The sequence below is a fragment of the Homo sapiens genome, chromosome X (assembly GCF_000001405.40).
Source record: "Homo sapiens chromosome X, GRCh38.p14 Primary Assembly".
NCBI lineage: Eukaryota > Metazoa > Chordata > Mammalia > Primates > Hominidae > Homo > Homo sapiens.
In genome coordinates this window covers 10,844,561-10,859,522 of record NC_000023.11, presented here as the reverse complement: position 1 = coordinate 10,859,522, position 14,962 = coordinate 10,844,561, and the positions used below count along the sequence as shown (strand labels likewise).

Here is a 14,962-nt window from a genome sequence, read left to right as displayed (position 1 = left end):
CTTGGCCAAACCCAACCAAACTACTTACCACAGCTGGTATGTAGTCTAGATGATACAGTCCATGTAGGTCTCTCTGAGAGAGACAACTGGGTGAAGGTGGATGGGAATGAATGGAACACAGAGACTATCTAATACAGTTTTTTTCAATTTAGCAAATATTTTAATGAGCATTTATTGTGAGCCATGCTGTCTGTTAGATGCTGAAGTTGGAGGTACTCTGGTTTGCCTTACGAAACTCAGATACTACCAGGAGAACACGGATAAGTAAACTGGCAATAACAATATGATACAACAAAAACAGAGTATTATGGAAACACTTAAAGGAGCTAGCCCATACTTAAGAGGTCTGTGAAAGCTTCTAGAAGAAAGTTAAATCTAAGCCAAAAAAAAAAATGAAGAATTCATTGGCCATTGCTGACTTTTACTGAAGACTGTTGAAAGCGCTTTGCTCATTGTAACACATTTCATCCTTCCAAGGACCCTATGAGTCAAGATGTGTTATTAATCCTCGATTTAAAGATGTGGAATTTGACATACAGAGACATGACTTGCCCAAAATCATATGGCTTTTAATTGGTGAATTCAGGTGTCTAACTCCAGAGCTTCCCTTTTAACTACTACCCTAAAGGGAAGGAGATTTCTAGATAGAGGGAACAGCCCAAGATAAGGCCTTAAAAGAGCACAGTCTGTACTGAAAACTAAAGATTAGTCTGATTGACATAGAGAAGGTTAAGGAGCCAGGTGAAGTGGAGGAATAAGATTAGAGGCTGCAGAATAAAAACAGATCATACAAGGCCCCACAAACAGTGTTGCAAAGTTTTGATTTCAACTCGAGGACAATGGGAAGCCCCTGGAGCATTTTTAACCAGGCAAAATAACACGTGAATTTCAGTTTTCAAAAGATCATTTTACAATGTGTAATGAAAAAATCAGGACAGTCACATGCATCAAAATATCACTCTGTACCCCAATACATATATATAATTATTATGTGGCCATTAAAATAATTTTTAAAAAAAGAAACATGAAAGATCATACTTTAGGAATAAAGACATTTCAGCAAGAAAAAAAGAGACCATTCTAGCCATAGTAAGGAGAAGGTCTTGAAGTGGGCCCAGATGTGAGACAAGTAGAAGAGTTCAGAGACTGTGACACATAAATCTACATGACCCAGCAATTCTAATCCTAAAGTGAAACATAGAAAAGATTTGTATGTGTGTGTTCACACCAGCGTTAGTCATAATAGCCAAAAAATGAAAACAACCCCAAATGTCCATCAATGGGTAAATTGTTAAATAAAATGTGGTCCATCCATACAATGGAGTATTATTCAGGCATAAAGAGGAATGAAGTACTGATTCATGTTGTAACATGGATGAACCTTGAAAACATTATATTACATGAAAAAAAGCCAGTCACAAAAGGTGGCATATTATGTGATTCCATTTATATGAAATACCCAAAAAGGCAAATCTAGAGAGACAGAAAGTAGATTAGTGACTGCTTGCAGCCTGAGGAAGGGAGAAATGGAGATTAACTGTAAATGGACATGAGAAATCTCTTTGAAGGTGTGCAAATGTTCTAAAACTGGATTAAGGTGATGGTTGTATAAGTCAGTGAATTTACTAAAAATCATTGAAATGTACACATAGAGGGGGTAAACTTTATGATATGTAAATCACACCCCAACAACCTTTACCAAAACAAAAACCAAACAAAAACAAAGAGGCTGTTGTAGTACTGTAGGGAAGACAGGATGGTAGCTTGAACCAAAGAGAGGGCAATAGAGATGAAAAGTAAAAGAAGTGATTGAAACTGGTAATGCCACTTGTGTTTGTTAATAATCACTCAAATATTTCCCACCTTGACCAAGAGGCTTTGAGAGAAGGACTGTGGTTCTTTGCCATTCTGGTGTTGGATGTTTGTTTTGTTGGAAGACAGATCTCCAGCTTTGGAAGAGAGGTTATTCCAGCAGGCAACGACTTCAGATTGAGCAGCAGCACTCTGCTGATGACAATGCATAGAATTCTTGCAGAAATATTTTCTGGCATCAGAAGGGAGGCTTTGAGAATTAGCTCAATATTTTGTACTAAACTTTAAGAAGGCACTAAGAACAAGTGTACCATGATATTTATGTCAAATATGACTGTCTTCATATTTGTCAATCAATTTTCCAAAACAAGAATAAGAATATCTGGGTTCTTGAGTTAATATGCTTTTCCACATCAAGTACAGTGATATTTGGTATCCCTTGAGGAACGTCTGGGTTGCAAGGTTCCCCTAAGGTAGCTTTAGAGCCAAGAAAATGTCAATGATCTTTCTGCTTTCCCCTCGAGCCACAATAAAATCCAGGCTCTGATTAGTTGTTTGGGCGACACCTAGTCTTGTTTTGATGGAGTTTGGTAAAACAAGTAAGAATATCCATTTTTCCCAGGCCCGTGAAATGCATGCAGTGGTAAGAAAAATGGGTTAGACTGTGTTTCCCCTGCCAGGACATAGAGTTCTCCATGTAGTTTGATATCCCCCAAGGGATGGTCGAACCTTTCAGCATATGGTTAGTTAATCTATCTTATGCTAGGTTATCAGTGGGGCAGTTGAAAGGTCAGAAGCCACAACAAAAACATGAGAAGTCTGAGCTTGGAGCTCTGAATTGTAGGGTGACTTTTAAGAATTTGGGACGGGGGCGAGACACGTCTAGGGAACAGTAAAAAGGGGAGCACTCTTAGGGTATTGTTTCTTCCCTGCTCTATTTTGGCAGCTTTTCTCTCTGTCTGCTTGTGTCAGAATTATCTGCCTTTCTAATATAAAATTTACTCTGGGTACTTACATTTCTGCCACCTGGTAGGCAGATGTAGTGGAGTTCTGTCCCTAGGAAATGTTCTCAGTACATCACCAATTTTAAATTGAGACCTGGGACACTTGATTTAAAGCGAGATATTTCTTCTGGTTAAAATATCGTGAGCCAACAATCTAAGCTAAGAATTTTTTATAGAGAGGAACAAATATTTGCCAGCCCTCTAATATAGTTTAGCTGTGAGGCTTAATAACACAGGCAAGTTGGGGTGGCAAGAAGGAAGCTTTTGCGTCAACTGCTGATCAACACATCCTCTCAGTCGTGTCACATGCTATTCCTGTACCCTTCAGAGTCATCCATGGAGCACCTGAGAAAATTCCTTATTTATGAAAGTTGTTTTAAGTTCTACTTTCAATGTTTTGTATTGAAAACAGTCATATTCTGTTGCCCTTTAAATAAAGAAAACTGAGAGATGACATATTAAACTTAATAGAGCCTCATTTTCTTTCTTATCCTTTTAATTCCTTATAAGTCTTCAAATTGCATTGTTTTCTTTGACAATAACAAGACATATTTTTAGCCAAGGCACTTGGGAATCAAATGAGCAAACTGAATTCCGTACCTCCTGATAGAGCACTGAGTTGAATGCAAGCTAAAATTGGATTACTGGATTGTTATTAAGAGAAAAGAATTAAGAGGCAGATGGGAGCCAACCCAGATTTCTCATGCTGGGTTTGAAGACCTTGAAGCTTGAAATAACACATCTTGGTTCCAAATAAACCTATTAGGAAATTACCAAGAGTAGATAAGCATAGAATGTTATGTTGAGAGGACTTTGTCGACAACAACATTTGAAAATTTGGACACAGGAACTTACAGAAACTTGAATCACGGTGAGGAAGCACTTGAGAGTGACTTGGAGAACTCTTCTTTTTGTGTAGAGGCATAATTACTTATATTCCTTTGTTTAAATAATGACTACCCATTTACAGCATAATGCATTTACTTTATGGAATTTCAGACATGATTTAACTAACAGGGAGCATCAGTGAAAATATATTTTTGGTAGCAAATTCAGGAGTAGACTCTATTTGTTTCAAAGGATAAGAGAGGTTCTTCATTTTAACTCTAGGCTGAAACACTAATCTTTAGTGTTTGTAATTAACTGCTTTTCTTAAACAGTAGGGTGTTTGTGGAAGCCTAATTTTTCCTGAGGAAAAATGATTGATTCCTATAGTAATGAAAATAAAACGTAAATATTGCTGCAAATTTTATGGAGATCTTAATGAAATATTATTAAAACTTCATCTAAGTATAGATAAAAGAGATTGTTTACTTGAGAAATTCTGTTGAGAAAGAAGACACATGTAAACATGTATGCTCGTCAGATTATTTTTTAATAGCTGTCAGATGTCAGCAAAGTGAAATGCATGAAGTTTAATATCTGTTCCTGTCTAAATAATTTTAAAAGTAGCCTATATAAGAGCACATTCTTTTTGAAGTAACTCTGCTAGATCCCAAGAGAGTTTAGGGAGCATTGAACTTTAAACTTTAGTTATTCTGATGGAGGAAAACAGTTCTAGCCACGTGGCCAGAATTTAAACTGGATGGAGAAATTGGACGAAGTCGTTGGTTAGTTTCAGGATACCTTCTAAAGAAGAGGCCAAGAGCCAACTAAGAATCAAAAGGAAAGTCAACATCCTGAATCTCACCGAGATAAAAGTTGAAAGCTGCAACGGAGTCCAGATCGTGGGTTACAGCTCCTTGCTGAAGGCCCTGATCTCTCAAATGTGCTCCTGCATTATCTACACTAGTGGTTCTACACTAGGGGCGATTGGGCCCCCCAGGGGACACGTGGCAATGAATGGAGACGTTTTTAGTTGTCACAATTAAGGCAGAGACTACTGGCATCTAGTGGATAGAGGTCAGGGATGCTGCTCAGCAAGGAATGATCCCGCTCCAAATGTCAATAATGCCAAGGTTGAGAAATCCTGTTACATAGCCAAGAGCATGAGGGGCTTGTGATATGACATCAGTATAACGAAATTCTAGAAATGTAACCAAAGTGTTGTTTAGAAAATTAAAAGTCAAGTCAAGACCTCATTATTGTACCCCCTAAACTGGGAAATATGCAACCATGACCCATACAGAATTTAATTCATAATATCAACCAAACTGCCAAGATTTTTATCATCAGTTAACTGATGTGACATTGTATAAATTAACAATCACCTCATATGTGTGGAAAATGGTGTTGTGTGATTTATCTTGTTTTAGTTTTACTCGAGAAAATCCATGGTATATGCTTCATAGCCTTAATTATCATACAGGTTTAATAATGTGCATTCTTATATCAGTAATTCATTCATTTGTTCATTCGTTCATTCAGTAAATAAGTTAACATTAATTGAATACCAGCTAAGAAAATTTTCTGCCTAAGTCCTATTTTTACCAAATTTTTTATAGCTGGTTTAGAAGATGATATTCCAAAGCTTCATATATATATGTATATATATATATATGCATGCCAAGTTAAAGATATTTTTTAACTATATAAAAAACCTTAAGAACTGTACTTTAAAATATTATTGTACATATTGCATAAATCCCACAGACTCTGAATTTGTTGTATGAGATGGCATGTATTTTTTTAAAAGCAGACATGTCAAATACAGCATTATAATGAATTCTAGAAATAATTATTAATATTGTTTTATAAACCACAGCACAACCTCATCTTATACAGTCTGTTGGCTTTTTCTATTTGCATGATGTGGAAGGTGTATATTTCTAGCCCTTTGCAAAACATTTCAAATATGTACTGAAATTATTAAGAAGCTACCCTGAAAGAAGTTAACATCTAGAACTTCGAGAAGGCCAACTTTCATAGATTTGTGAAGCCAGAATAGGTTTCCACCTCTGTCACTGGCTTTGTGTGCTTGGCCAAGTCAATATATCCTCCTTGAAAACTGTTCCTTATACACACACACATGCACACAAATACAAAGTTTAAATCCTATTCAATGCATACACATCTACATACATATATGGTTTACATTCTATTAAATGCACATACACAAGTATGTATAAACATTGTTGACAGTATTTATTATATGCATACAGCACACACATAAATATATATGGTTTAAATTCCCTTCAACTCTCATGCACTTATGGCTTAAAGTCTATTCATTATACATACATATGTATACATGGTTTAAATACTGTTCAATGCACATGTATATTTCTATATGTTTTTAAATCTATTCATTATACACACACGCACACACAACTTAATAGTATTGCCTTTGGAATTAGACTTGCCTCCTAATTCCAGTTCTCTCCACATATTAGCTGTGTGGAAGCTTACTACTCTGAGATTCATTTTTCTCATCAGCGCATGTCAACATAATCCGGATACCTTACCCCAGACATTTAAATAAAAGTACATAAAACATGATGTATGATGAGCACAGGGCCTCACACATATTAAATGACATTTTTTCCCTTTTAAAAACGAAAGTGTTGGGGTTTTGCAAAAGACAGGCTGGTACCTTAACGGCACAGGTTAGTGTATTAATGTAGAAATAAGACAATGTCTGAGTAGTCCCTGAACTCTCAAGTGGAAGCCAGCGTTCCACTACAGGATGTCTAAAAAGCGTAACCAAACTATGCTTGGACCAGGCTGGCATCAGGACAAAGACTCTCTAGTCTAGTGGGGTGGGGCACAGGTTGTCAGCAGGTGGTCATTATTTCAATTTAGATTGGTGGGAGTGTGGCAATTCAGGGCAGGCCATCCCCTTAGAATCAGTGTCTGAGTCAGAATAGTGGGCCTGGCCTGTCATACAGACTCACTGAGAAATAGCTCAATTTCCACAGATAGAGAATTGACATCTAGAATGATCCATGCTAATGTATAATTTAGAGAAAAAGAACACAAAGGGAATATGCATCACCCCTATGAACTATTCTATTTCATGTCCCTCTACACCAAGCACGTGACTTCCATTCTGCAGAAGAAAACAATACAACTCTTACTTAGGGTAATGTCAGCTGCTGTAATGAACAGTGACTTCACAGCACAATTGTTCATTTCTTGCTCACATTTCACTCCTGTGCAGTTGGCCAACAAGAGTGGAGGAGAAATCCACATAGTTGCCTGGGACCCCAGGCTCCTTCAGTCCAGAGACTCCTTTAGTCCTATGCCATCACAAGGGCCTCAGAGGCCTTTTCTGTGTTCTCAAACATCCAGCCAAGGATGAGTGAAAAGAGAGTTTCAAAGACCATGAGGGAAGCTTCAGCAGCCAGGCCACTTGCCACAAGCTGACTCCATTCCCTGGCCTCGCTTAACTGCAAGGGGCTGGGAAATGTTTAGTGTTGTGCCCAGGAGGGCTTGGCAAGTACATGCCAATGTTTCTGCCAGAATAACATTTCAATATCTGAGGAAAATGTGATGGAGCTTGAAATAGGATAGTATTTAAAATCAGCTGTGTAAATTGTGAAATAGATTCTCTTTATATTGTGATAGGGCAAAATTTACATTTTTTGAGAAGAAACTAAAAATAATCAGAACTCATGAATTCCATAGAGACCCACTCTTACCATGCCAGTTTACCCTCCCTCTTTCCTACCCACTTTTCCCACAAACCAGCTCCCCTGAGATGTTGAGGTCAGCTTGGGGATAGTGAGCAATTGACTGGTAGCAGAGAGGGGACTGAAAGTAGTGATAATGGCTATCTCCAAGTTCCAGACACTATGCTAACTTACAGCATTTGTTATGAAAAGGACACAGCAGAGACATCACCAGAGCCCACAGTCTTGAACTGTTTCAAATCCATTTCCTGTCAAAAACCCAGCTGGAATTGTTGATTCCTTCTATTAATTATTCTTCTAAGTTAGTACTTCACTACTTGGTCATACACAAAAATCATCTGGGATGCTGTTAGGTCAATTAGAAGCAACCTAACAGCATCCCAGATAATGATTCCCATTGATCTCCTCCTCCTAGTGTTCTCGCCATTGTGTAATCCATTCCTTTGAATGTGAATGGGATCTATAACTTGCTTCTAACCAATAGAATATAGCAAAGGTAATGGAATACACTTCCCTGATTACATTACTAAGATTGTATGCCCTATCTTGCTAGTAGAATCTCTCTTGCTGGCTTTGATAAGGCAAGCTACCATGTTGGAGAGACTCACCTGATAAGGAACTAAAGACAGTCTCCAACCAATAGCCAGCCAGGAACCTAGGCCCTCAGTCCAAAAGCGTTGAAATAAGAGGGGTAAAAGACAACAAATATGGTGCAGTGTATACTGCTCAGGTGATGGGTGCACCAAAGTCTCACAAATCAACACTTAAGAACTTACTCATGTAACCAAATACCACCTGTACCCCAATAACTTATGGAAAAATTAAAAAAAAAGAGGAAAAAAGCCCTTAAATAACTAAATTCTACCAACGACATGAGTGAGCTTAGTAGGAGATCCTTCCCCAGCTAAACCTTCAGATGAGACTCTAGCCCCAACTGGCTACTTCACTGTAGCCTTTATAAGATCCTGAAGCAGAGGAACCAGCTAAGGTGTGCCTAGATTTCTGACCCACAGAAACTGAAATAATAAATTTATGTGTTTCAAGCTATTACATTTGTGGTAATTTGTATGCAGCAATAATAGCTATTACACATGCTTGTTAAAAATCCAGATTCCTGGGTCCTAGCCACAGAATCTGTTTAGCAGAACTGGAGAAGGACTTGGGGATCTGAATTGTTCACTATCTCTTCAGATGATTCTCATGTACCTGGATTCTTACATCTAGACAGCCTTGCCAGAATATTACATAAATCAGCCATATTATTTTTAGTCCCAACAGAAGTGATCTAAGTTATATTTTAGTGATTTTTTTCTCAGTCTATTATAAACCAGATCTATATTTGTTTTCTCTTGCTGCTATAACAAAGTATCACAAATCTAGTGGCTTAAAACAACATAAATTTATTGCCTGATAATTCTGGAGGTCAGAATTCTGAAAATGGTTCTCACTAGGCTAAAATTAAGGTTTCAGCAGGGCTGATTCTTTCTGGAGGCTCTAGGGAAGAATCTGTTTGCTTGCCTTTCTCAGCTTTTAGAGGCTGCCCACCTTGCCTGGCTCATGATCCCCTTCCAGCAATCATCTGCTTCTATCATCACGTCTCCTTCTCTGACTCTGACCCTCCTGCCTATTTCTTTCCCATACAAAGGCTCTTGTGATTACACTGGGCCCACCATGATAATTTAAGATCATCTCTCCATCTCGAGATCCTTACCTTGATAATATTTGCAAAGTCCCTTTTGTCAAGTGAGGAACATTCACAGATCTGGTGATTAGGACATCTTTGGGGAAGGGGGAAGGCATTCTTCTGCCTACCACATGACCCCTTGAATAAAATACCTATATTTTTATTTTTTTTTTAAAGACAGGGTCTCACTATATTACCCAACTTGGACTTGAAGCCTTGGGTTCAATGATCCTTCCACCTCAGCCTCCCGAGTAGCTAGGACTACAGACGTGGACCATCGTGCCTGGCTAAAATATCTATCTCTTGGTGCTAGTAAAATGGTTTCCTCTTTCTCTGTATCATGCAAACTATGTAATTAGTCTTGTTTTTCTTCCTGCCTTAGTTCCCATGGCTCCTGGAGCTAATCATTGTGTTCAGTTCTAATGACTTTGCTGTACTTGTTTTCTAAGCAACTGCTTCTCTTGGTTTATTATGTTGTTCTTACTCTTTTATCCTTATTTTAATGGTTCTGTTTAGTTTGTGTCAGTTATTATAAATTGATTTTGAAACATAGCTAGAATATACAAATCCCCACATTTAGGCTTAACCCGTAAGTCCCTGATTCCTAATCTCTTACTTTCCAAGGTTGCTTGTCAATGAAACATTTTCCCCACTTGGTGCCTGGACTTCCTTTCTTCTATATTTCACTCTACCTCTCCTTCTCTGTCCTTCTCACAACCATCCCTAGCCCTACAAGCCATTCAGTCATTCACCAATCTAGTTGTGAATTTCCCTCAAGGGACTGTGGGTGAGGAGTTCACCTTCCACCCATTGGTAGATTCTGCTAAGGTCCCTTATGCTGTGATGGAGGAACTGGTCTCTGAACCCTTGGTCAGCCTGCCCATGGAAGAAAGACCTTCTGAAATGATTTCAAATACACTGGGCTCATTAAAGTATTTAAACAAATTACCCTAAAAACTCCCATAATAGCCACACAGTTCAGGGAGACAAACAATATTATCCATGTGTTAAAAGAAAAATACTGAGTGAGTCAAAGAACGCAGAGAGAGAGCTATAGATTCTATTTCTCTGAGAAAATTATCTTAGTTTTGGGGTCTTAGATGACTTAGATGGATGAATCCCAATCCCGGTTTTCCATTTCATCAGTACATCCCAATTATTGTTAGAAGCGGTTTGACAAAATAATTTTGTTAGCCTAATTAAAATATATATTTCAGATACCACATTTTGGAATGGTCAGAGGAGCAGACAATGTAGTGCAAACTTAAGAAACATGATGATTAAAGTGTCTGTCAACATTATTTTAAGTTAAGCATATATGTGCAGTTTAACAAATTTTTATAAAATGAATAACTGAATTGGCACTCTCTCCTTACACCCAAATATATCTGTGCCGAAAAACCACCTCACATGCCCTTCAACAAAGATTTGCATAAGCCCCTTATCTGTCATCTTTTTTCATCAAATTCTAAAAACATCTAAGTTGGATTCTTCTTATGTCATTTATCATCTGTATTACATATATACACTTGTACACCACACATACATATATATAATTAAATATTAGTAGTATGAGCAGGCATATAAATGTAATACATTTGTAGCATTAGTTATCTGTGTGTAATTATTTTCTTCCTTCCCCTTCAGGCTCTGAGATGTATAAAGGCACAGTGAATTCCTGAATCATCCTTTGATCTTCCACAAGACTCAGTATCACTGATTAACTACAATTTGAATATAGTTCATCACTGAAGGAATGAGTGAGTGAATGAGAAAGTGAGCAAATGAGGCCGTGGAGGTCACTTAAACCAGGGATCAGGTTCATAGAGGTCACCCAACACAAGATGGAATAGTCAAGTAAACCAAGTTTACGGAGTTAGACAAAACTCCATAAGGCAAGGTCAACAAAGGCAGCTCTGACGGACTGTTCAATCCTGACTTTAGGCTGATGCTGGTCTCTACTCTGTCTTCCTCCTGAGAGTAGGGGGCCTGGGGGCCCTTAAATAATTGCTGGTGTTAAAAGGGAGTTCAATATTTTCAAGCATACCTAGCTTCTGTTTGAAGAGAGACAGGGTAGAAGAATTACCTGGAAGGGATAGGGTACACACTGCCACCTCCATTGCTATAACGTTTTACTCTTGTCAACAGACTTTCACATATATGCTCTTGAGTCAAGCACAGGAAGAAATAAATTTTGCTGCTGAATTTGAAGCAATTGGCCATGGAAGCCAGTCTTCAGGGGCATTAAAACAAATGCCTAACAAAAGTTTATTATAAGGCACTTGCTCCACCTGAACTCATTTCATCGTTAGAAAAAAATCTAAGAAGTAAAAATTAATATCCTTCCCTTTTCACAAGATGATGGAATCAAGAGCCTTAACAAGTTTTAATGGCCTGCCAAGGGTCATTTGTCAACTTCTGAGTCTAATGTCTATGTTCTACTCATGACATGGCAGTTGTGGTATAGAGGGATCTGATACATCATGAAAATATAAACCCACAGATTTTGATTCTAAGAAAGTGACCCAAGTTGTGCTCATTATGGTTTTGCTTAAAATTAAAGTTTAGATTGAAATGATACCAGTTACGTGTTCTTAAAAACCTGCCATGATTTACTTTAGATGATGATTGAGGACCTACTGTGTGCAAGCCACTGGGATGAACATCTTATATATAGTTTTTTATTTCATCCCCATAGTTATCCTAGAGACAGGCATGATTCCCTTCTTCTTACAAGTGAAGAAACTAAGGCTCAGAAGCATTGAGTGACTTGCTCCAAATCATAAAATTAGTGGTGGAGAGAAAATTTAAAGACAGGTTATCTGGTTCTGGAATCTACACTTTTACTAACTGCTCTCAATGGCCTCTCCTTAGTATTTGTGCCTTCATTAAACAAAATGTTTTGAAAACTTCCAGTGTGCCAAGTACTCTTTTGGGTGCTGAGGATATAACTATACAAATGTGAGTCATCTTTTGAATATGCTATTCTTCAACATTTTTGGACTTAGCTATTTTAATAAGTTCTATACTTGTAGGAAGTTTAAAACTTATAGTCACATCATTAAGGTGCAAAAATACATTATTTCTCTATAACTAAACTCAATTGAAGCCACTGTTTCCACTTAGCATAAGAATTGTTTGTTAATTCAATGAAAAAGGTCACTTCTGGTTCAAAGTGTGGTTCATTCAGAGCTTAAATCCAGCCAACTTGAGAATTTCTCATCTACTGACCTCTGCAGTTATCCTAGGAAGGGTGGTCTGAGTGTGGGGAGGCAGTGAGGGAAGGCTATTTCATTGGCAAAACATGGGTAGAGGTGGACTAGACAACACACTTGATCTTCATCCCTGCTAATTTGTTTCCCACCCAGGCCCTGCAATTCAGCCTCATCCTTTCACTAGCCCCAGACTGAAATGTCCCACTCATAGCAGCCTCTGGGATGGGACCCTTTGTCTAGAGTAACACTACACACACCTTTTAGCAGGTTCCCAGCTCTCAAGTTCCAACCACTCTATCCACACCACTTATGGTGACACATGAACACCTCCAACTGCCTTCTCATCAAGGAGTAGCCAAGGAAAACTTGGAGCCAGCCAGCTAAGACCTTTTCTTCATTTCTGCTCTGCTCTGGCTGCCCCCTATAGGGGCAGGGCATCCCACAAAGCTATCTCTTCCCAGTCTTCCATATGGGACGTACAGCACAACTCTCTTTGCTTTCAGAAACCAAATCTTGTTGGTCCATTTTTTAAAATTTCTAAATCATCTGGGGCTCTGACTGTTGATATTTAAAGAAAAACGTTTTAAATTCAAGAAAATCCCATTTCTCCCTCAAAAAATCCTAGTTCTTATATATCAAACAAGCTTTAGTTTTGAGATTATTATGATCTGCTATGGATTTACTAACTTAATTCAGTAAAACAATTAAATGTTGTCTGTTAATTTATGACATATTCTAAGCAGTATCTGAAAGCAGTGTTCACAGAAAAAGTTGGTTGCCACCAAGGATAATAGGTAGAAGGCATATTCTCCCCTAGAGAATATGTATTTATTACATATTATTATAGTTTATTATTATATATACTACCATAGGTAATGAATGCTACCAGCATCTAGTGGGTAGTAGTGAGAGCCCAGGGATGCTGCTTAGCATCCTACGGTACACAGGGCAGCCCCCACCCCCTCACGCACACACACACACACAAAACAAAGAATTATCTAAAAGGTCAGTAGTGCTGAGGTTGGGAAAATTTGAGATAGTTAAATGATAGATATACATGGATAGATACATAGATGCATAAAAATAAAGCTAGATATGGTCTAAGTGTCAAACACTGTGATAGGGAGAAAATAACCAGGGCATCCCTCATTGACAGCTTAACTTAACCTAAAGTCATTATGTGTCTTCAAAACTCAGAATTTCAGCCCTGTTTTCAGCCTATGTGCAAACCCAATTCTTTATCAGGAAAAATGAAGTTCGGCTTCTCCCAGGATTTATTGCCTTTCTAACCAGCCTGCTTTTATTGGGGTCGGTGGGGGGAGTGTAAAACCACCAAAACATGCATTTCTAGGTGAAGTTAATTTTCTGAACAGAATACATAGTTCCTAGCACTGATAACAAATTCAGCAGGCTTAATCAGATTCAGATTTGGTATGCTGTTTCAGTGGAAAAAGAAAACAAATCTAAGAGGGCACTTTAGACCTTTGGCTCTTATTAAAGAGTTTATGTAATTTGCCACATTAAAGTTTAAATACAAGCTCATGAGAACTTCACATTTAAGATATGAAACTCATTCAAGAGGAAATATGCATCCCCCTGAGATGTCTCCCAGATCTATCTCCCTACTCTCCCAATTCCAACCCAACAACCATTATTAAAATCTCAATCAGTTTCTAAATAGAGATTTCTTTCATGTAATATAGTATGTGGATTCTGTGATAAATATCAATAAAAGATTTTGAGGCCTGGGTATAAGTATTCCATCCATGAAGTACATATTTGGACTGACTTAGGGCACACACTAATCAAATACCTTTGATTGACTGTTAATACCTCACACTTAACCTTGTCTAGACTATCCTGATATATAGTTAATAGTGTTTCAAGTTCCTTTTTCGAAAACACCATAGAAAATGTAAGTGAGTACACACTAGTCTGCAGAAACGCCTAGCATATGTTAATTGCAGTTAACCGTGGGGTTCAATGATCAGGGAATCTTCTGTGAAATACTGGGACTCCTTTTAAGAGGAGACCCTCTGAAGATTTTATATGTACCACTGTGAAAACTTAAACTAAACCTTACAGATTTTTTAAACAATTTTTTAATTTGCTTCCCATTATATCTATTCCAAGGTAGACCAAAAACTAGGTTGATTTCTAAACAGAAGTGTCTATTAGGAAGAAATCAAGGCCAATTCTAAATGTGTCCTTCTGGCATTGGGACGCTAGACGGTATGGGTTTCTCAAATAACAACTCCATAGCGCATGACAGCTTTCAGTGTCAAAAGCTTGGTGGTCAGTCTTTGCAAAGGCTCCTGAAAAACTTGCTAACCCAGAGCTGTTCATTTACACATGTGCAAACCCTTCCGAATCACATAGAAAAAAAATACCTAACATTTTAAAATAGAAAAAGGCAGAAAAGTTTCTATACTCTAGTGTATGTTTCCAACCTATGTCAAGTTTCTCATTTCTTTTACAGAATCATCCTTTTCTCTGATTTCTATAGCCTGAGATAATAGCAGAGTCACATAACAAGGCCATTGAGCTCTTAACACCTTCCTGGAAACCTCCAGTCTATTTCTGTATCTGTCTGTTCCTCTTTGCAGGTCTCTGTCTCTGTGCCTCTGTCCTTGCTTTCAATGTATCTTTTCTCCATCTTATTTTTCTTTCTGTTGC

General features: G+C 37.9%; 1 long non-coding RNA gene across 1 annotated transcript in view; it reads left to right on the top strand.

Moving 5' to 3' along the window:
* HCCS-DT (HCCS divergent transcript) overlaps positions 1-11,980 on the top strand; it is a 263,596-nt gene extending 251,616 nt beyond the window's left edge. Inside the window, exon 6 of the long non-coding RNA NR_186561.1 lies at positions 10,719-11,980. This is a non-coding gene — a long non-coding RNA (HCCS divergent transcript). The remainder of the gene's footprint in view (positions 1-10,718) is intronic.
* Positions 11,981-14,962: the final 2,982 nt, after the last annotated feature.